Genomic DNA, 19,519 nt, shown 5'->3' with positions numbered 1-19,519 from the left:
AGGAGGCCAGGCGTAGGGTCAGGGTTCCTGGCAGGCAGGAAGGTGGAGTACCCCTTCTGCCAAAGCAATCACACTAACCAGCCCTGAATAGCAGCTGGATAGACTGACTGGCATAGATGGGGCCAGGACTCTGCAAGGCAGGCGGCGGAGGGAGTTTGGGCTGGAGCCCAGGGTGGGCTGGGTGGAGGCAGGAAGGGAAGGGGGGTGAGAAAAAGGGGCTGCTCTCCTCCAGCGGAGCTGACTCAGCACTGAACTGATTCCTCCCTCCAGGCTGGTTTCAGAGGAAGCCTGGGAACCCTGTCTGGGGCAGGAGTTTCTAAGGAAAGAGGAAGCAAAGCCTTGTTATTCTGCCCTTCCAACCTGACCATCCTGGTTCTTCCGGGCAATTGGGATGAGATCTCTGTTTGGCCAGAGACGGGCTGCTCCTAGCAGGCCCCGCAGCGACACCTCTTTCTCTTTCTCCCTCGTCTCCTTCTGTCTTAGCAGCAGAGCCCCAGGCCTGGAAGAGGCTTCTTAGGTCCTGAGGGCTCGGATAAAGCCAGTGAGCCCAAGGTCGAATATGATCATGGGAATCCCCCTGCCTCAGGCAGAGAGGCATGAGGAAACTGAGGGTCTGCGGGTGGATCACAGGACACGGTAATGCAATTTAGGAAGATTTTCCAAGTGGCATCAGCTTGACCACTTCCTCTTGTCTCTGAGCCTTGGGTCTCAAGGCAGCCTTTTAAGCCAGGTGGTGGGAGAGCAGCTGAGCTCTGTCAGCCACCCCGCTGCCCCCTATGGGTATGCCCTGCTCCCCAACTCTGGCCCCTGAATCCCTTTAGTCCACTAAGAATAAACATACTCCTTTATGAAAAATGCCAAAGCCCCACCTCATGGAAAACGCTGCTTATGATGTGTGCCCGCCCCTCATCCAGCTCCTCTCACCCACAGCCCGTCACCCTCTACAGAGCTCAGCCACACAAGGAATGTGAAACACAATTTATTCTTTGTGGAAAGGTTGAACAAGGTCAAAATTGTCCTTAGAGGGCACCGACCCAGCCCCGCCCTGCAGGTTCCTGGGGTCAGACGCCTCTGCCCCCCCACCCCCACCCCTCCCCATGCCCCTTGTTAACAAAAAGGAACGATTTGAATGGAATTCATATATAATAATTATAATAAAAATATACATTAAACAAAACAAAAAAACAAACAAGACAGAAATCTAGCCGAACTGCCAGCACCGTTCACCCCATTTCCCCTACCCCGTGCCCCACCCCCCCGACATCCCTCTCCTCTTGCTCCCTCCACTGGGTCTCACTCTCCCAAGTCCCCGGTACCATGGCCACCACCTTTGGTGGCCCAAGGAGACTTCAATGGGTGGGCTGGGTGGGGGAGCGAGAGGGCAGGCCACTGGTGAGACAGGCTTGAGGGGTGCTGGCACCAGGGAAGCGTGGACCCAGCCTAAGCGAGCCCCAGCTCCTGCCCCTCACTGAGATGGTGAGCAGGCCGGGACAGCGTGGCCAGCCAGGCCCTGTGGCCTCTCGTGAAGCCCCTCATTCCTCGTTTGTGTGCCTTCTCTGCTCCTTTCTCTGGCTGCCCTACCCTTCCCCTCCACGCTGCCTGGGCAGCAAGGACAGGGACCAACAGGAGCAAGTGTGCCTTCCTCAGGGCCCTTCCTGAGAGCTCCACAGCCCACCCTGTGGCCCCCTGCTTGGCTTGGCCTGGCCTGCCCGGCCCCAGCCTTCCAATGCTGCTGCACGTCCTCATTTTCCTTTTTGGTCCCCTCCTGCCCCCTCTGGCTGTTCTGCCTTTGGGCCTCAGCCCCAGCTGCCTGAGTTTGGGCAAGGTTCTTTCTCTGTGGCCTTCAGGCTCACCCCCAGGGCTCTGACCCGGGCCTCTCCCACCGGCCCCACCCTACCTGACAGCTGCACCCCTGGTTTCAGCTCTTCTAACTGTGAAAGCCCCATCCAAGGCTAACATTCGAGAGGCACAGGGCTGCCAAGGGTTTCTTCTGCCCACTTAGTCCCCAGTGGCTCAGGCTCCTTCCTTGGAAGTTCCCTGGGGTAGGTGAGGCAGAGGCAGATCTCCGAGGAACTTGACTGACTGAGCAACGAAGACCCTCTCTGAGTTTTCCTCCCAAGGTCTTAGGGTGGCTTGGCAGTCCCCACCCCCTCACACTGTCTCAGGGTCTCTACCCTCAACAAGATTAGATTCCTTTTAGCCAGAAAGAGTAGTGAGAGGCTGCCAATTGGGTACACCTGGGGCTTTCAGGGCTGGAGTGCCCAGAGCCTCCTGAGGTCAGAGTTCAGAGGTTAAGGTATGTCAGGGGATGGAAAAGGAGCAGATGACCCCATTTGACCTTTACCAGCGAGGTCTGAGGGTCCTGCCTTCAAGTGCAGAGCCCCCAACACATTCAGATGGGGCTGGACAGACACAAAGCTACAGGGTTCCCCTGAGGGGCAGAGGCTGGAAAGGGCCGCCCTCCCACTCAGCCCTCAGGGGACCTATCTAGGGAAGATGCAATGCCGGGGCAGGAGGGAGGGAGGCGGTCAGGGTGAAGGAGGCCAGCCAGGGGACAGAGAGAAGCAAGGAGGCTGCGGGGAGGGGGCTCGGGACGATGGGAACAGCCCACCCACCACCACCTGCTGCCACTGGCCTTCAGAGGCAAAGTCCTTGTGGTAGGAGTGGGCGGGCCGGCGGTGGGCGTCAGACCTTGTCCAGCAGGGAACGCTGGCAGTAGAGCAGTCGCCTGGGGGTCCCATGGCGTCTGAAGAAGAAGACTGCAAGGCCCACCGCCAGCACCAGGAGCAGCAGCAGCACGGGCAGCACCACGGCAGCCGCGCTCACCGCCCCGCCGCCCTCCTCGTCCACCTCAATGATGATCACCTCCGTCTCCTCCTCAGTCCCCTCATCCGGCCGGCCTCCCGATGGGCAGCCCATCCAGTCCCTCAGGGCTGACTTGGGGTAGCCCGGTTCTACCTTCAGCTTCTGGTTGTTGAATTTCCAGTATTTGTTCCCCTTGTAGAAGTAAGTGAAGACTGCAGGGAGTGAATCAGAAGGTGGTAAGGAAGGGAAGACCCAAAGAGAGGAGAGGAGAGGAGCGAGGGAAGCTCTGTTAATGTGAGGGCAGCTGAGCTTCCCTCCACCTTCGTGAGCATCAGCTTCCTCAGCTGTAAAATGGGGGTGCTTATAGTACCAGGTTGGAAGGTGGTGGGGATGAATGGGCACCACGTGTGGAAGCACCTAGCCCAGCGCCTGGTATGTGGTATTATCATCGCCGTTGTTTTCCACACAGCACTCCCTCAGGCTTCCCTCCCGCTCTTCCTCAACTCCCTATTCCCATCCTTCTCTCAGCGACACCTTCCCTTGCCCCTCTCACCTTCATCGCTGCCCATGAATGACCCTCTGGGAGACTCAGGGATCCCTTCCCAGACTTTGATGTTCTTGGGGTACTCGCTATCCACTGCCCTGAGCTCTTCGTTGAAACGGTAGTACCTGGGGAAGGGGAAAGGAAGGGCAGTGGCGGACACTGGGCATGTCCTCAGGAGGCGCAAGACCCGGACCGAATCCACCAGTGGGCAAAGGATAGCTGTGGACAGGGTGGGGACAGGGGTTTTGAGTAATGAGGACCTGCTGCTGAAAGCGGCGGAAGGTGGGGGTGGAAGGGAGGGCCCAGGCTGCAAGGAGCCACCAGTAGCCCTAATGACAGTGCCTGGCTGCTGGGGTGGAGGCGCAGTGCTGGGGGCAGGAGGCGCCAAATGACCAGGTCTGGAATGACCCGGTCACATCCCACTCACACGGTGCCCAAAGGAGGCTGCCCATTTCTAGGCAACAGCAGAGGCTCAGCCAGCTCCTTCTCCAGGGAAGCATGTTGGGGGTAAAGTGGGTCTTTCTCCAGAACTGAGGGAATTTGGGGTGGTGGTGGTTTCTGAGGGAGGCCTGGGGTTAAGGGGTTGAGGTCTTACTTGTTTCCACGGAAGAAGTAGGTCTTTCCATTGGGCATCCAGAAGAGAGCAGCATCAATCTTGTCGGTAGGCAGCCCTCGGCCCAGCTCCTTAATGTGCTTGGGGTAGCCAGGTTCCAGGGACGCCTCATCAAACACCCAATGCTTGTCTCCTGGGGAGGACAGGAGGGCAACGTCTGGGTTCAACTTAGGCTCTAGGGACTTTAGAGGAAATCAGCTCCTCTAGGGAGACCCGCCTCACTCCCAAAGACTAAAGTGGAGTGCCTGGTTACCTTTGAAGAAGACGAATTTGCCATCCTTCCTCTCGTAGGCAGTGTTGATGGACGCAGGCAGGCCCCGCCAGAACTGGCCAATGGGCATTGGGTATCCATCCATCACTTGGTTATTCCTCACCCGCCAGAACCAGCGCTCCTGGAAGCCGGTCAATGCAGGAAAAGTCCATTATGTCTTGCGGCCTAGGTCTCTGGTTCAGTCCCCAAAGCTCCCGCACTGCTGTTTGTTCCTCAGTTTTAGTTTTTAGTCCAGCTGTTGTCACTTCCACCCAGCCGCCCTACCACAGAGTACCCCCCCGCCTTTTTTTTTTTTGAGATGGAGTCTCACACTGTTGTCCAGGCTGGAGTGCAATGGCCCTATCTCGGCTCACTGCAACCTCCACCTCCCAGGTTCACGTGATTCTCCTGCCTCAGCCTCCCAGGTAGCTGGGATCATAGGCGCCCACCACCACACTTGGCTAATTTTTTGTATTTTTAGTAGAGACGGGGTTTCACTATGTTGGCCAGCCTGCTCTCGAACTCCAGACCTCAGGTGATCCACCTGCCTTGGCCTCTCAAAGTGCTAGGATTACAGGCATGAGCCACCATGCCCAGCCCATAGGGCCCTTTTGTCTTTCAAACCAGCCCACTTCTTCTCACCTTGAAGACAAACATCTCCCCTCGGAGCATGGCCACGGTGTCAAAGTTCCCGTCACAGATGTTGGGCCCATAGGTGGGGTTTTTGGGTTTATCAGGAACAGAAGGCCGGGAGGTAGTCCTGGGTTGAGGGGGCATCTTGGTGGGGAACCCTGACTCACCCCCTGGGGCAGAAAACACGAGGGGCATTTCAGACTTAGGAGGAGGCGGGGACGGAAGGACAGACAGATGGGCAGACAATACCCTTGGAAAGGTGTGGATGGGCTTCTAGGGGAGGCTGAAGCAACCAACTGGGAGGCGACACAAAAGATGGGCTCAAAAGTGGAGCTGATAGAGGCAGGGGCAGGTTGGCAGGGGGCGGTGCGGAGACTGCAAGGCATAAAAGAGGGGAAATGCGTAGACCAGGAGGGAACAAGCAGCAGAGGAGGGAGCAGGCGTGGGTGTAGACTACTCGCCATAAAGTTGCTGGATGCCCCGGCGGTCATCATCGGGCAGCACAAAATTCTCCGTGTCCATCCACTGGTAAAAGGGTGCCATGATGGCCGAGGGGTCACTGGAATGCTCGAGCCCCAGGGCATGGCCCAGCTCGTGCACAGCCACCAGGAAGATGTCATTTCCTGGAAGGATGGGGACAGTGACGATAGCAGCCTGAGTCCCTTCCCTCAGCCTCCCTGCTTCCCCACCAGCAGCTTTGGTTTCACCTCCAAGCCTGCTGCCCATGTTTTCAATCCAAAGTGGCCAAATTCTGAGGTCTAGCTTTTTATCTGGTATTTAAGCACAAAGCCAGTCAGCAAGCTCCTCTGGGTGGAGGTGAGAGAGTGCTTGGAAGCAGGACCCCGATCCCGGGAAGACCTGTGGTAAGGGAAGCCAAGGCTCTCTCTAGTCCCCAGTTTCTCCCGGGAGCGAGACATGACATCGGTCTGGAAAAGTGGGCAATAAGGATGCTTTGAAGTCTTTGACTGGAAAGCCAGTCAGTGGGTGAGAGGGGGGACCAGATGTAAATAGCTCAAACAGGACTCCTGCTTTTGTCAGAAGTTAGATCAGAAGGTCTCTGTGGTCCCTTCTAGCCCGGAGATTTTGGAAGGAGGGAGGGGAACCACCCCTACAAATGACTGTTGGCTTTTTCCAGAGTAAGTCCCAGGGATACTTGGCTCACCATTCAGATCCTCATTCCTGACAGTCCAAGGCTCGGCAGAGTCAAAGTGGGTGTCTCCTCCAATGTTGGGGCCTGGGAAGTAGGCATGGGCCAGGAAGCCGCCCTCACCATCGAAGGGCGTGCTGTCGCCATGGAAGCCCTCGGCAAAGAAGATCATGATGTCGGCCTGCTTCTCATGGCCCTCACGGATGTAGGCATAGGGCACCTCGCGGAAGCGCAGTGGTGTGGCACTCTCCCACACGCGGAACGCCTTGCGAATGGCCTCGTATGTGGCATACTCGCCCACCTTGGGGGTGTAATTCTGGATGCTGAGGTCCAGCCACGTGGGGAGAGGATGGGGTGTGTTAGGATAAAGAGGGGCAACATTCTCCTTCCCTGCACTCTCCCAGGTCTGACTGCGCGGCCCAGCCACCTCTGCCTGACCCAGCTCTTCCTGCTACCTCATGCGCAACGCCTCTGTCTCAAGAACAAGGGATCCTCAGGCTCTGGCTCTCTGGCACTGGGGTGCACCCTTGATGGCTACACCTCTCTCAAGGATGAGAGCCATTTTCCTCCCCACTCCCACGGATGCTTCCCAGGAACTGAGGGGAGTGGGGCAGGGGGTCTCTGAGTCCCTGCATAAGCACAATGGGTAGGAAATAATAACCAGATGTGAGAAAGGTTGCTTGCCTGTTGGACTCACCAGAAAGTGATTTCATTATGTTGCCATTTGAGACCCTGGATGGCGTAGCGCTTCCTTCGAACATTGGCCTTGATCTCAGCCCCAAACTTGTCTGGAACACCACATCGGGGGCGCCTCATGGCCCTGGAGTGGGTTTGGGTGCGAGGATTGGGATCAGTGCAGTGTATGAAAGAGAAAGGTCTCCACGATCAGTGTTGGGTAAGACTTGCTGTGTGTCAATGTGGGGAAAGGCCAAGGTTATGAGGTCAGGGTGAATATGAGAGGGTCAGGATCAGCACGTGGGGATGAGATATGGGGGAGTGGGGTGCACAAGCCAGGCATTCAGGTAGGAACATCTCTGGCGCTGGCATTGTCAGTGGATGCTAGGCAGAACTCCTGCCAGGGTCTAGCACTTACTTCATGGTGTCTGCATCAGCTTTGCCTGTTACTTGCAAGCCGTAAAACTTCTGCATGGCAGCGATGGCCGCTGAGAGTGACTGGGGTGAGCGCTGTGTGTGGGTACGTAGGTCCCCGGGAGGCAGGTAGCCATATTGCTGTAGCCAGGCCTGTAGGGAAAGGGGTATGGCTTAGAGTGTCCCCACCTGGCCCATAGGGTGCCTCTACCTCCCCGACAATGCCCAGCATACAGCCTTGGCTTGGCAAGGAAAGGGCAGTGGGTTCCCAGCTTGGCTCCGGCAGCAGGTCTGGAGGAACTCCCAGGCTAGACCTGATCTCTGGCCCAGGCCCCTCGGGGCTATAGCTTGTCCCCTCGGGGCTATGGGCCCAAACAGGCTTTTGGCTGTAGCTCTCTTGAAAATGAGAGAGAGCCCTGGTGGTTTAATGGGGTTCTGAGATGTCTTCTCAGAGCTGTGATTCCTTCTAGCACTTTTCTCCCCCATGTCAGTGTTCTTACAAATATAGCATGTTCCACCTGGGACTGGGCTATGCCCATGATGTGTGGGGAGGGGTGTTGACAGGCTGAGTGAGCTCTACTATTGGGCTTGACCTGAGGCCCTCCTGGGATGGGAGTGCCATGTCCCCAGGACCCTCACAGCTGAGATCTTTTTAGAAAGGAGGGCAGAAAAAAGAGCTAGAGCTAAGGCTGGCTGCTACGAGGGGAAACTAGGAACTTGGAATGTGGTAAGAGGTGTGATCCAGCTGAAGCCAGGATCCTGCCGCTGTCCTTATCCAAGCAGCATCTGACCTATGGCTTGGAACCTAAAGGCCTATTTAAGATTCTCAGCAGTGGCCGGGCGCGGTGGCTCACACCTGTAATCCCAGCACTTTGGGAGGCCGAGGCAGGCTGATCACGAGGTCAGGAGATCGAGACCATCCTGGCTAACACGGTGAAACCCTGTCTCTACTAAAAATACAAAAAATATTAGCCGGGCACGGTGGCGGGCGCTTGTAGTCCCAGCTACTCAGGAGGCTGAGGCAGAAGAATGGTGTGAACGCAGGAGGCGGAGCTTGCAGCGAGCTGAGATTGCGCCACTGCACTCCAGCCTGGGAGACAAAGCAAGACTCCGTCTCAAAAAAAAAAAAAAGATTCTCAACAGAGGAAGTGGGACATAGGGGTGGAGGAGGAGACTTGGTGACTGTATTTTATTTCAGGTATGTTGTGAATTGGTCATAATATAAAGGCTGGCATATTGCCTTAAATTAAATTAATGTTAGGTTTTTGGTGTTTGATTAAAAGGTACACACACTGCAAAGCCCTGTTGAGGAGAAAGTCAGCCTTTATTGTAAGAACAATGGAGTATTTTCTTAAAGCCTCAAAGTAAAACAAGCCAGGCTGGGCGTGGTGGCTGACGCCTGTAATCCCGACAGTTTGGGAGGCCAAGGCGGGCAGATCACCTGAGGTCAGGAGTTCGAGACCAGCCTAGCCAACAGGGTGAAACCCTGTCTCTACTAAAAATACAAAAATTAGCTGCACGTGGTGGTGGGCACCTGTAATCCCAGCTACTCAGGAAGCTGTGGTAGGAGAATTGCTGAACCTGGGAGGCCAAGGTTGCAGTTAGCCAAGATCCCGCCACTGCACTCAGCCTGGGTGACAGAGCGAGACTCTGTCTCAAAAAAAAAAAAAAAAAAAAAAAAGTAAAACAAGCCAAGTTATATATGAAATATGAAGATGCTTGGATTCTTTTATGGGGAGAAGACACCACCCAGATAGCTCTAGTCCCTGCTCCAGCTTTGCTTTCTTAGGGAGTTCAGGAAGCGGCTGTAGGTTGCCCAGGATGGGATCTTGGAGGGGAGATGGGGGAGGCTGCTGTTGGGTGCTGTATCTCCTAGCCAAGGTCATCAGGATTGGATTGCCACATGGTCCTTCACCTCTGGGCTCAGGTCCTGGTGATGGGGCAGTAGTCTTGCATGGGGACTGGGGGTGACTCAAGAGCAGCTGACTGGGGACCTGAGCCCACAGGGGCAAGAATTGCAACATGGTTCTGGGAAGTGATCCCCCCCCAAGGCTGATGCGAGCTAGAACCCGAGATGTAAACAACCCAGCCTTTTCCCAGCCAACAGTCTTGGCTAGAACAACCCTAGCACCACCTAGCTCTGAGGCTCTGAGAGCCCCTCCTCAGGGGTAGAGGAAGGAGTGACATTTAACCTTTGGTATACCAGAGGGAGCCAAGCAGTCCACACCAGTCCGGGGCTGCTCTCAGGGAGCTGCAGGCTTGCCCTGACCTGTTCTGGCTGATGCCACAGCCAGTGCCTGGGGAGGCCTGCTGTGGCCTGTGCCTAACTATGCAGGAAATGTCTTTTGCCCCTAGCATACCTGCAGGATAAACACACCCCGGGCTTATGACCCTTGGTTGAGGAGCAGCTGCTTCAGGACTTGGGGAAGGATGGGACTGGTCTACTGACGCTGGAAGGCAGGAGGACTGAGGCCAGGCCCCGTCAACCCTCAGAGAGCAAAGCTGAGAGAATTTGCCTAGAGCAGAACGACAGAAGGAAGATGGGGAGAAGACAGAACGACAGAAGGAAGACGGGACAGAAGAGATGGGGAGAATCCACATCCAGGAGCTCTGGGGGAAATCCCCTCTGGAGTCGTTCAAGAAGCTAGGGGGGTCTAAATATTCACACCTACAACCTCCACCCCATACCCTCGGGAGAAAAATGAAGGCTCAGTCAAATGAAGGACTTCCCTGGAGTCAAGAGAGCCGCAAGGCCTGGAAAGGAAGTGCCCCCATCCCTCTCCTCCCCCCAGGCCTAGGCAAGTTTCTCTCCTCACAGAGACTATGAGGTCGAAACCACAGAAGAGAGGACTCTTGTGTCTGCGGCTGGGTGGGAGGAAGGGCCCAGCGCCAGACAGGCCATGGGGAGGAGAGGGCTGTCCTGGAGCTGGTGCAGGACTCTGGAGGCCTGGTAGGAGGGACCCAGCTGCATGAGGCCTGCACCACCCCAGCTTTCCCTCCACATTGGCCTGGAGAAAAAAGCAACTATGTTGGGTCAAAGAACCCAGTCGGCTGGCTTTGTCTTTGCGAATGAGAGAGATGCAAGGTATCCCCTAGGAGAAAGTCAACGGAACACCTCCCACCTTGGCTTAGGGGTCCAGGGGAGGGTGGGGGGACCTCCAGCTCTGCAGTAGGCCCTGGATCCTAGCCTCTGGGGCTGCTCCTCCCTCCCTTCCTGGGCCCAGAAGCAAATGGTGGTTCTGGCACTGGGACCGCCCATGACCCAATTAAAACGGAGCCAGGGCAGCCGCCCCTCCCCTGGGGGACCCAGCAAAGCAGGGGAGGGAAAAAAGGTAAGGCAGTGAAGTTGGCGGTCGGCAGCTCCCCAGATGCTCAGGCTCGTTTTGTTAGGGGCGCTCCCTTTCAGGTCTCAGAGGACTCTAGGCCTGGGAAGAGGACGACTCCTCCCGGACAGTCAGGCTCAGCCTCCAGCACCAGGGCAGGTTTTTACTCTCCCTGGTCTCTGAGCACTCCACGTTTCGTCTTCCACCCCGATTCCTGGGGCCATACTTTTCCAGTCGGCCCCAGACCCTTTCAGGGACGCAGAGAGAAGACAGTATTCTTTCCAAAGAGTTTTCTCCGGGGTGGGACCAAGGAGGAGAAGCCAAACCCATATCCCATCCCCCTTCTAGGGCCCTTCCTGGCCCCTCCCAACCGCACCCAGGCCCTTGCCAGGCTGAGTGGGTTGAGATGGCCCAAAATAAGAAGCTCATTAAATCCGTCTCCCACCTTCACCCCAAAATAAGAGAGAGAGAGGAAAAACCTCCTCAGACAACTCCCACGCAGCTTCCTCTGGGGCCCGGTGGGCCACCGTCTGGGCCGGGGTGAGGGTGGGGGGCGCCCGAGCCAGCCCCGACGTGAGGGCACCCCGGACCAGACCCTCTCCCCATTCCCCAAGCGACGCCCCCAGGCTCCCTGCAATTAACACAGAAAAACTATTAACAACAAAAAGGGCCTGAAGGCGCCGACGCGGGTGGGGATAGGGGGAGGCAGCGACCCGGCCGATCGCCCGGCTCACAAGGAGAGCTTTGTGTGTACGGAAACGCGGCCAGCGCGCCGGCGCTGCGACCCTCGACGCCAGGGATGCGGGTAGGGACACAGCGGGGTCCTCTCGGGGAGACGGGGGCTGTGGCCCTGGACGCTCGGCCGTCCACCCTCGACCCCCACCTGGCCGCAGACTCGTCCGCTGAAGGCCTGGGCCACCCGGGGAGGCCGAAGCGCCCATCGGAGGGCGCGCCGGCGGGAGAGCGCTGGAGAGCTGGGAAGTCGAAGAAACAACAAACTCTCGCGCATGACGAGGAGCCGGGACAGCGCGGGGTTTGAGCGGAGTCCAAATGTTTATCAGGCGGTTCCAGAGCTGAGAGCAGAGCCCAAGGGAATCGGGGAAGGGGGAGTTCGCCCCAGTTGTAAAGTTCTTCCAAGGACTGGGAAAAAAGAAGGAATGGGAAGGAGAGTCGGCGGCGCAGGGGGTGGGGGCAGCTGGTTGGAAGCGGGCAAAAGTTGGATCGATCTGGAAGTTTGGAGACGAAGAGGAAAAAGAAAGGGAGGGGGAATCCTGCAGGCCTGAGCAGCGGAGATCCCAAAAGCCCTCCTCTCCGAATAGAGGCTGTCCCCTAGGAGACCCCCGGGCTCGCCTCCCGGCGGGCGCGACTCCGGGAAGGGCCGGGAAGCTCACTTACTTCGGGGCTGAAGCTGCTGCTTTGGGCCGAGCCGAGGGAGGCGAGCGCGGTGCCGAGCGTGAGCAGGGGGAGCAGGAGACAACGGGGGGGTCTTGGGGCGGGAGACATGGTCCGAGACCACCGGGTCAGCCGGGCAGTGTGGGCTCCGCGGCCGGGCCCACGCCCTGGGGTCGCACCGCCACTCCCTCGGGGCGCCTTTGTCTTCGGTAGGCACTGAACTTGAATTCCTAGACCGCTGTCGGCTTGGAGTTAAAGGGGATTGTTCCTCAAAGTGCCTGTTTGCTCTTCTCCTCTTTTCCGGTTTTTGATCTTTCTTCTGCTTAGTCGGCGAACTGGGGTCTGGTTCCCTCTCTCGCTCTCTCCTCTGGTCCCTCCCTTCTCCCACAGCCTCTCCTCCGTCCCCGCCCCAGTGCCCTCCTTTCCTGGTTGGGGACGTGGTTGTTTTAGCCTGAATCCAATTACAACCAAGAACTGGAAGGAAAAAAAAAAAAAACACCTCTAAGTTGCCTTTTTGTGGTGCAGGCTGCCATCTGCAGGGGTTGAGGCCGCGATGGACAGCAGGGGGCTGTAGGGGGATCCAGGGGACGGGATGTGGGAGACTTTGTCCCTATAAGCATATTCTGAGTGGCTTGATTCCTCTGGTATTCAGCATTTGTCTCACCTCAGGGTGGGAATTATTGGGGGCTATGTGGCTAGGGGCAACGAGGAGCTCAGAGTGTGGGATGGTGGTGGGGTCTTCTTCCATGCCCATGAGACCTGCAGAGGGAGAAGGGGCCAGTTTACTAATAGGGGGTTATCTTCTGGGCCCTGTAGACAACTGTCTATGTCCCTCCCTCTGCTGCTAAAAAATCCAAACTATAACCCAACTACCAACAACAAACCCCACAACCATACCGGATCTGTGGCTCCAACCTTTGTAGAAAGACAAAGGTGATTCCTTTATTGTCATTTGTAATGTGGCTGCACCTTTAATTGGAACTCGCTGGGAGGAAAAGGGTACAAGGCCGTGGGATCTGGGGGAAAGCAAATCAAGTTGGGTGAAATTATTGTAAAAGAAGGGATTGGGAGTTGGGACTCTGGGGTTTAGTTCCACCTCTACACTGAAAAAGGAGGCAATTCTTAAAGAGTTATAATCTCCTTTAGGGACTTACTGGACTCAGAACAAAAGGTGGAGGTATGTAGGGAAGGGAGAGGGCAGGATAAAGCTGACCGTGAGAAAGGGAGACAGATGAGTTGGGAACTAGACAGGTCTGGAAAAGAAGCACAACAGAAGCAGGAAAAGTGTGGGAGACAGAAAACTAGACTATCAGCGAAATCTAAGATCCAAGAATTGCATTTGGCCAGTGAGAGAGGACAGAGGTAGTGCGAGGAGGAAGGGAGAAGAAAGCAAAGGAAGGAATAGAGGAGGGTGGACAGAAATTAGGTCAGGTAGGAAGCTCCAGAAATCCTAGGGATGCACTTCTGTGGCAGAAGAATAGAAGTCTAGTGCTCAGTATTGTAATGAAAACAAAGGTCTTTTGCCCTCAGATTCATGATCAATAAAATGAAAAGCTTTTCAGGTCCTGTGGAGCCTCCAGGTTTGTGGGAGGTATATGGTGTGTGTTATTAAACAGCTACCTACCCCACAGTGACTGAGGGCTGAGCCCTTATGTAGGGCTTTCCTACACAAGCTGGGGTTGGGAGGTACAGGCCCCTCTTCAACCAATCTCTGGAATGCATTCAGAACCATGGAGACCTCAGGACCCCACTCTCGGCAGAACACGCAACACCCAGGTATGATTCTTCCCACATCAGCCTTCCCAGTGGGGGTAACCTCCTGGACCACATATCTGAATCTTAGGAAGACTGACACCAGATGCTTGCCAAAAAAGGGACCTTGGCTAGAAAATCTTTTTCATGAAAACATTTATTAGATGCCAGCTGTACATGGCCTAAACTGTGCATGAGCTGTTAAAGGCTTGACTGCCTGGCCAAAACTGGGAAAACTGCTGTCCCCTTTTCACGTTCACAGAACAGCTATTTCTCATAGTTGGGCTAGTCCTATGGCCTGCAAAGGAGGTAAATTTTTTTTTTTTTTTGAGACGGAGTCTCGCCCTGTCGCCCAGGTTGGAGTGCAATGGTGTGACCTTGGCTCACTGCAACCTCTACCTCCCGAGTTTAAGCGATTCTCCTGCCTCAGCCTCCTGAGTAGCTGGGATTACAAGCGCACCCCACCACGCCCGGCTAATTGTTTGTATCTTTAGTAGGGACAGGGTTTCACCATGTTGACCAGGCTGGGTTGGCCAGGCTGGTCTCGAACTCCTGATCTTGTGATCTGCCCGCCTCAGCCTCCCAAAGTGCTGGGATTACAGGCGTGAGCCACCGCACCCAGCTAGGAGGTAAAAATTTTAAAGCAAGACTTAGCTGAACTGGAATGGAACCAGAGATGAGAGTACTAAGCCAAGCCTCCCAGGCAGTGATCTAACAGCTTGTTCTTGGTGTCCCAGCTCTTTTTCTCTGAAGACAGATGGGGAACGTGAAGGCTATCTTCTGGCTGGATGAAGCATCTAGGTGATAGAAAAGAAATCCAGAGACAGGGTGAGGAAGGGAGGCAGGAGTTGCTTTTTATTGACTTGGAAGTGGGCTCTTCAGTGAAGCCCCTTTGGGTTTAAGAGCATTTTCCTGCTTCCTTTGTTCTTCCTGCAACTTCTGCTGCCTGAGCTGCCATGCTTGTAATCCAGCGTCCATTTCCTGTGACAGCAGTACAACTCGTCTCTGAAACAGACAGGAAAACAGTGTGGATAACATCTGGGACTTCAGCGCTATACTATATATCCTTCCACTTACAAATTCAGAGGTTTCATCTGGAAAATGACGCTGCTGACTCCCCAGTGGGAGCGAGTTCTGGCTTGGGAAGCAGAGGGAGACAGCAAAATGTGCAGCAGGATGTCTACTACTGGTTCCTGTCCTGGGAGTGCCCCACTCTCTTCCTCCCTTCTCACAGTGCTATTAAAACCTTTGGCTGGGGCCAGGCATGGTGGCCCACACCTGTAATCCCAGCACTTTGGGAGGCTGAGGCAGGCGGATCACCTGAGGTGGGGAGTTCAAGACCAGTCTGACCAACATAGAAAAACCCTGTCTCTACTAAAAATACAAAGTTAGCTGGGTGTGGTGGCACACGTGTGTAATCCCAGCTACTCAGGAGGCTGAGGCTGGAGAATCGCTTGAACCCGGGAGTAGGTTGAAGTGAGCTGAGATAGCGCCATTGCACTCCAGCCTGGGCATCAAGAGCGAAACTCCGTCTCACAAAAAACAAAAACAAAAACAAAAAAAACCTTTGGCTGTTATTAATAAAACCTCTGTATGAGGGGTACATGTTTGCTTAGGTGCAACACAGCTCAAGACAAATTATGATTTAAATGTTCTCCTTCCAGGTAGCCCTGGCTGTTGCTCTAACCACTCACTGCAAACGTCTCCCTTTCAGCTTTTCTTCGAAGCTGGCCTTTCATTGGGGGAGCAGGGCGGCCATCTACAAGTAGAAGTGAGAGAAAAGTCAAGTGTTAGAGATGGACTGCATCACCTTGTGCAAATACTGTGATAGGAATAAGGGAAGAACCAATCTCTAGCTCCTCTCTTCCATTTCATATACATTGTAGCTTAATTATCCTAAAATATGTCCATCATCTTCAAGGGTGAGGTACGATAACCCAGAATAAGCTCCTAGACATATTACTACTCTATTTCATTTTATTTCATTTATTTATTATTTTTTGAGACAGTCTCGCTCTGTTGCCAGGTAGGAGTGCAGTGGTGCAATCTCAGCTCACTGCAACCTCTGCCTCCCGGGTTCAAGAGATTATCCTGCCTCAGACTCCCGAGTAGCTGGGACTACAAACACGTGCCACCATCCCTGGCTAATTTTTGTATTTTTAGTAGAGACGGGATTTCACCAAGTTGGCCAGGATAGTCTCGATCTCTTGACCTCGTGATCCACCTGCCTCGGCCTCCCAAAGTGCTGGGATTACAAGCATGAGCCACCGTGCTCGGCCTTTTTTATTTTTTATTTTGAGACAGACTTTTGCTCTTGTTGCCCAGGCTGGAGTGCAATGGCATGATCTCAGCTCACCGCAACTTCCGCCTCCCAGGTTCAAGCAATTCTCCTGCCTCAGCCTCCCGAGTAACTGGGATTACAGGTGCGCACCACCACACCCGGCTAATTTACTACTCTATTTCACTGAACTCTCACTAGCCTTGTATTTGAGGTCCTCTGCAATGCTGAATCTACTGTTTTGTCTTCAGAAACTCTTGGCCAGGCGTGGTGGCTCACACCTGTGATCCCAGCACTTTGGGAGGCTGAGGCAGGCGGATCACGAGGTCAGGAGATTGAGACCATCCTGGCTAACACGGTGAAACCCTGTCTCTACTAAAAATACAAAAAATTAGCCGGGCGTGGTGGTGGGCGCCTGTAGTCTCAACTACTAGGGAGGCTGAGGCATGAGAATGGCCTGAACCCGGGAGGCTGAGCTTGCAGTGAGCCAAGATCGCACCACTGCACTCCAGCCTGGGCGACAGAGCCTGACTCCATCTCAAAAAAAACAAAAAACAAAAAAAACCAGAAACTCTTAAGCAATGTGATCACTGTTGTTCTATGTACCTTTGCTAAATTCCATCCCACTCCACAATGAAATGCCCTCTTTTCCTTTTCTTCCAGCCAAATCTTCATCCTTAGGTCCACTCAAACCCTAACTTTCCCAGAAACGCTCATCTCTTCAAGTCCATCAGCCTTCTCTTCTGAAAGAAGTACTGAATATTTAATATTCACCTATTTGCCTTGGGACATTTACTGTACTCTTCTGTTTTATTTTTTTAAGTGTTATTTAGCTACCTCAGGTCCTTTTGGAAAGGCGCAGAGTATTGAAATATTATTTATTATTATTTTTGAGACAAGGTCTCGCTCCGTCGCCCAGGCTGGAGTGCAATGGCATGATCTCAGATTATTACAACCTCTGCCTCCTGGGCTTAAGCGATTCTCCTGCCTCAGCCTCCCGAGTATCTGGAACTGTAGATGCATGGCCCTGAATACTATTACTTAATTTTTAAAAAGTCCATGCTTTGTCCCAGTTAGACTTTAAGTTCTTTGGGTCAGGGACTGTGTTGCTAGCTTTTGCTATTCACAGTATAGTGTAGACACATAAGCATGTTAATAAAAATCCATAAATACCTGCTGACTTGCTGAAAAGATGCAGTATCTAACCCAAGTAGTTTACTTTCCGCAAAGAAAGAAACAGAGTGAAAACTCTGCCCAAAAGTTTGAAGGCAAGACAGAGAAGAGGTGTTATTTACCAGGAAGGGGAACCAATATTGTGTATGCCACATGCTTTACATTGGTTGTTTCATTTTATCCTTAAAAGAACCACATGAGATAGGTATTCTTTTACAGATATGGAAACTGAGACTAAGATAAAATTAAGTAATTTGTCCAAGACCACAAACTTAGCGAGAAGGGAAGCCTGGATTAAGAATAAGGTCCATAGGCTGGGCGTGGTGGCTCATGCCTGTAATCCCAGCACTTTGGGAGGCTGAAGTGGATCACTTGAGCTAAGGAGTACAAGACCAGCTTGGGCAACATAGCAAGAGCCTGTCTCTACTAAAAGTTAAAAAAAAAAATTAGCCAGGAATGGTGGTGTGTGCCTGTGGTCCCACCTACTTGGGGGGCTGAGGTGGGAGGACTGCTTGAGCCCAGGAGATCAAGGCTGCAGTGAGCGATGATCATGCCACTGCACTTCAGCCTGGGTGACAGGGCAAGACCCCATCTCAAAAAAAAAAAAAAAAAAAAAAAAGCAGTCATATGTAATTCCAGAGTCTTTCCAATAGTCCATACTACTACAAGGAGATGCCAGGCTTCTTACAGTAAATAACAAGTAGAAAAAATCTTCACCATCTTCCTCAGTCACCAATTATCCAATTAAGCAGGATCATACCCCTAGAGAGCAACAATAGGGTATTAAATATTCAGATCTCTGTGTTGTCAAGGAGGACTGGCCTATGTTCTAGTCCTGGATTTGCTACTACCTAGCTGTATGATCATGTGCAATTCACTTCTGTAGGCCTCAAATTTCCTACTTGTACACTGGAGTCTCATAAGGAGAATGGGGAGTAGCTTCAACTTCTCTAAGGTTCTCCCTTCTAGGGCTAATATTTATTCTCCCTCCCTCTCTCTTTTGTAAGTAAAGGTAAAAGAATTTTCTGAAGGGAGCCTGCCATCCATAGTCTTCATCCTTCTACCCCTCTGAGACGCTTATTTCTGCAGCTTTTCAAAGAGCTCTCCCTGCATTTGGTACCAAATACTGAAAATTCACTAACCACAGAGAAAAGTGGTTCTTGGTTAAAAAAAAATGTCCCCCTTTGAAAAACGCAGAAGTCTTGTCACCCCCTTCCACCCTGGCGGCCCCAAGTCAGAATTATCTTCTGCTTATCTCCACAAGCCAAGATCCTGTTTAGCTTTACCTTCCTTAGTCGAAATGCAATCTACAAAATAAACAAGAGGGTTTCTTTCCCCAAATTCCGTTTTCCAAATAAAAAGTTAAACACTTTTACACGCCCCCACCTTGATACCCCCAGCTCCCCGTCCAGGGGCGTTCCCTCTAGGTGAAAATCTCCCCAGTGGAGTTAACTGCCAGATCAGCGCTTACCCGCATATGACCAGTCTGGGAGCTCGGTAAGGGGCCCGTAGCCGGAGGGGTTGGCAGCCAGTCCCTGCCTGTGTGGAGAAAAACAGATCTGTGAGGACCTAGCCCAGCTTCTGGTCCCCCAGGTGCCCTCATCCCAGGACTCACTGTAGTCGCCACTGGCCGCCCGCCCAAGCGGCTACGCTGCAGTGCAGCCTCCGGACACCTGCTGGGAGAACAGAGCAGAGTTGGGGGAGAGGCCGCGCAGCCGGATCAGGGGTCCTGTGCCCGTCCCCAAAGGGCCCCCGAGTCCACGGTCCCTATCTATACCCACTCACTGAAGAGAACAGTCCCTAAAGCAGCCATGCTGAGCAGGAGTAGCCGGGGTAGCCGGAAGTAGGCGTGGCCTCGGTGGCCACGCGCGACGCTATCGGGGAAGCAGGAAGTCGCCATCTTGAATCTGGGTTTTCAATCACGGCTCCGCCATCTTGGGTCATCGTACGGAAGGAGAGACAAAACTGCAGTACAGGTTTTTGAGGTGAAAACGAATTGTCGTTCAGCGCATGCATTCTCAGTGGAAGTCGTGTCCTCCCAGATTAAGCCGTTCTGAACAGTTCCCACAACCTCCCTACAGCGGTCTCTAGTTCATTGAAATTGATATTAATAGTAACTTTGATCTCAGGGGTAACATCCACGTCATTCTACAGATCCTCGCATCACTGTAACACAGTTTTCCTAGACTAAGAAAAGTAATCAAATCTAGAGTTAATCGGAAATTGGGCCAGCCTGGGCAACATGGCGAAACTCCCTCTCTACAAAAAAATGAAAAATTAGCTGGGTGTGGTGGCGCATGCCTGTGGTCCCAGCTACTTGGGAGGCTGAGGTGGGAGGATGGCTTGAGCCTGGGAGGCCGAAGGCTGCAGTAAGCAGAGATCATGCCACTGCACTCCAGTCTGGGTAACAGAGCGAGACCTTGTCTCAAAAAAAATTCTGTGTGATAAGTGCTGTATTAGGCGTAGATTTTATGGAGAACAAAACCAGACATCAATATCCTGATAGAGCTCTCGGTATAA

The 19,519-nt window shown here is 53.6% G+C and overlaps 2 protein-coding genes across 11 annotated transcripts, besides 6 other annotated features; both read right to left on the bottom strand.

Moving 5' to 3' along the window:
• MMP14 (matrix metallopeptidase 14) lies at window positions 967-12,140 on the bottom strand. Its single transcript, NM_004995.4, has 10 exons — window positions 11,800-12,140; window positions 7,086-7,234; window positions 6,690-6,812; window positions 6,008-6,315; window positions 5,307-5,468; window positions 4,855-5,015; window positions 4,216-4,354; window positions 3,945-4,095; window positions 3,359-3,474; window positions 967-3,017 (listed from the first exon to the last, which is right to left on the bottom strand). Exons 1-10 carry the CDS (start codon window positions 11,905-11,907, stop codon window positions 2,686-2,688), a joined length of 1,749 nt encoding a protein of 582 aa, NP_004986.1. The 5' UTR covers window positions 11,908-12,140; the 3' UTR covers window positions 967-2,685.
• Window positions 1,668-2,191: an enhancer, noted in NCBI's record as "H3K4me1 hESC enhancer chr14:23315743-23316266 (GRCh37/hg19 assembly coordinates)". NCBI's record gives its function as "activates a minimal SCP1, AML or CMV promoter by ChIP-STARR-seq in naive H9 embryonic stem cells {active_cell/tissue: H9 hESC(naive)}" and the evidence as "EXISTENCE:reporter gene assay evidence [ECO:0000049][PMID:30033119]".
• Window positions 2,716-3,241: an enhancer, noted in NCBI's record as "H3K4me1 hESC enhancer chr14:23314693-23315218 (GRCh37/hg19 assembly coordinates)". NCBI's record gives its function as "activates a minimal SCP1, AML or CMV promoter by ChIP-STARR-seq in naive H9 embryonic stem cells {active_cell/tissue: H9 hESC(naive)}" and the evidence as "EXISTENCE:reporter gene assay evidence [ECO:0000049][PMID:30033119]".
• Window positions 4,733-5,233: an enhancer, noted in NCBI's record as "H3K4me1 hESC enhancer chr14:23312701-23313201 (GRCh37/hg19 assembly coordinates)". NCBI's record gives its function as "activates a minimal SCP1, AML or CMV promoter by ChIP-STARR-seq in primed H9 embryonic stem cells {active_cell/tissue: H9 hESC(primed)}" and the evidence as "EXISTENCE:reporter gene assay evidence [ECO:0000049][PMID:30033119]".
• Window positions 5,234-5,734: an enhancer, noted in NCBI's record as "H3K4me1 hESC enhancer chr14:23312200-23312700 (GRCh37/hg19 assembly coordinates)". NCBI's record gives its function as "activates a minimal SCP1, AML or CMV promoter by ChIP-STARR-seq in naive and primed H9 embryonic stem cells {active_cell/tissue: H9 hESC(naive and primed)}" and the evidence as "EXISTENCE:reporter gene assay evidence [ECO:0000049][PMID:30033119]".
• Window positions 12,266-12,482: a silencer, noted in NCBI's record as "fragment chr14:23305452-23305668 (GRCh37/hg19 assembly coordinates)". NCBI's record gives its function as "represses an EF-1alpha promoter that drives an FKBP-Casp9 reporter gene in an ReSE screen in phorbol 12-myristate 13-acetate-treated (for megakaryocytic differentiation) K562 erythroleukemia cells {active_cell/tissue: K562(+PMA)}" and the evidence as "EXISTENCE:reporter gene assay evidence [ECO:0000049][PMID:32094911]".
• Window positions 13,688-18,838, bottom strand: MRPL52 (mitochondrial ribosomal protein L52). Of its 10 annotated transcripts, XM_047430919.1 has the most exons (6): window positions 18,777-18,838; window positions 18,615-18,675; window positions 18,471-18,538; window positions 17,688-17,761; window positions 15,243-15,307; window positions 13,688-14,553 (listed from the first exon to the last, which is right to left on the bottom strand). In XM_047430919.1, exons 5-6 carry the CDS (start codon window positions 15,285-15,287, stop codon window positions 14,404-14,406), a joined length of 195 nt encoding a protein of 64 aa, XP_047286875.1. In that variant the 5' UTR covers window positions 15,288-15,307; window positions 17,688-17,761; window positions 18,471-18,538; window positions 18,615-18,675; window positions 18,777-18,838; the 3' UTR covers window positions 13,688-14,403. The 10 variants fall into 10 exon arrangements, with proteins under 10 accessions (XP_047286875.1, NP_851821.1, NP_851823.1 ...); NM_181304.3 differs by having other exon boundaries at window positions 18,615-18,838; NM_181306.3 differs by lacking the exon at window positions 17,688-17,761.
• Window positions 18,855-18,934: an enhancer, noted in NCBI's record as "active region_8144". NCBI's record gives its function as "activates an Ori minimal core promoter by ATAC-STARR-seq in GM12878 lymphoblastoid cells {active_cell/tissue: GM12878}" and the evidence as "EXISTENCE:reporter gene assay evidence [ECO:0000049][PMID:35858748]".

This window comes from Homo sapiens, chromosome 14 (genome assembly GCF_000001405.40).
Source record: "Homo sapiens chromosome 14, GRCh38.p14 Primary Assembly".
Classification (NCBI taxonomy): Eukaryota; Metazoa; Chordata; class Mammalia; order Primates; family Hominidae; genus Homo; species Homo sapiens.
This window is presented reverse-complemented; position numbering and strand designations above follow the sequence as displayed.

Excerpts from the sequence above, each read along its gene's own strand:
- MMP14 (NM_004995.4), bottom strand. The coding sequence starts at position 11,907 with ATGTCTCCCGCCCCAAGACCCCCCCGTTGTCTCCTGCTCCCCCTGCTC. Across the intron at positions 5,469-6,007 it reads CAGGAATGAGGATCTGAATG|GAAATGACATCTTCCTGGTG; the intron begins GTGAGCCAAGTA and ends CCATCCTTCCAG. Across the intron at positions 3,475-3,944 it reads TACTTCTTCCGTGGAAACAA|GTACTACCGTTTCAACGAAG; the intron begins GTAAGACCTCAA and ends CCCCTTCCCCAG.
- MRPL52 (NM_178336.3), bottom strand. The coding sequence starts at position 18,812 with ATGGCTGCTTTAGGGACTGTTCTCTTCA. Across the intron at positions 18,676-18,784 it reads TTTAGGGACTGTTCTCTTCA|CAGGTGTCCGGAGGCTGCAC; the intron begins GTGAGTGGGTAT and ends CTGTTCTCCCAG. Across the intron at positions 15,308-18,470 it reads CCCAGACTGGTCATATGCGG|ATGGCCGCCCTGCTCCCCCA; the intron begins GTAAGCGCTGAT and ends TTCTACTTGTAG.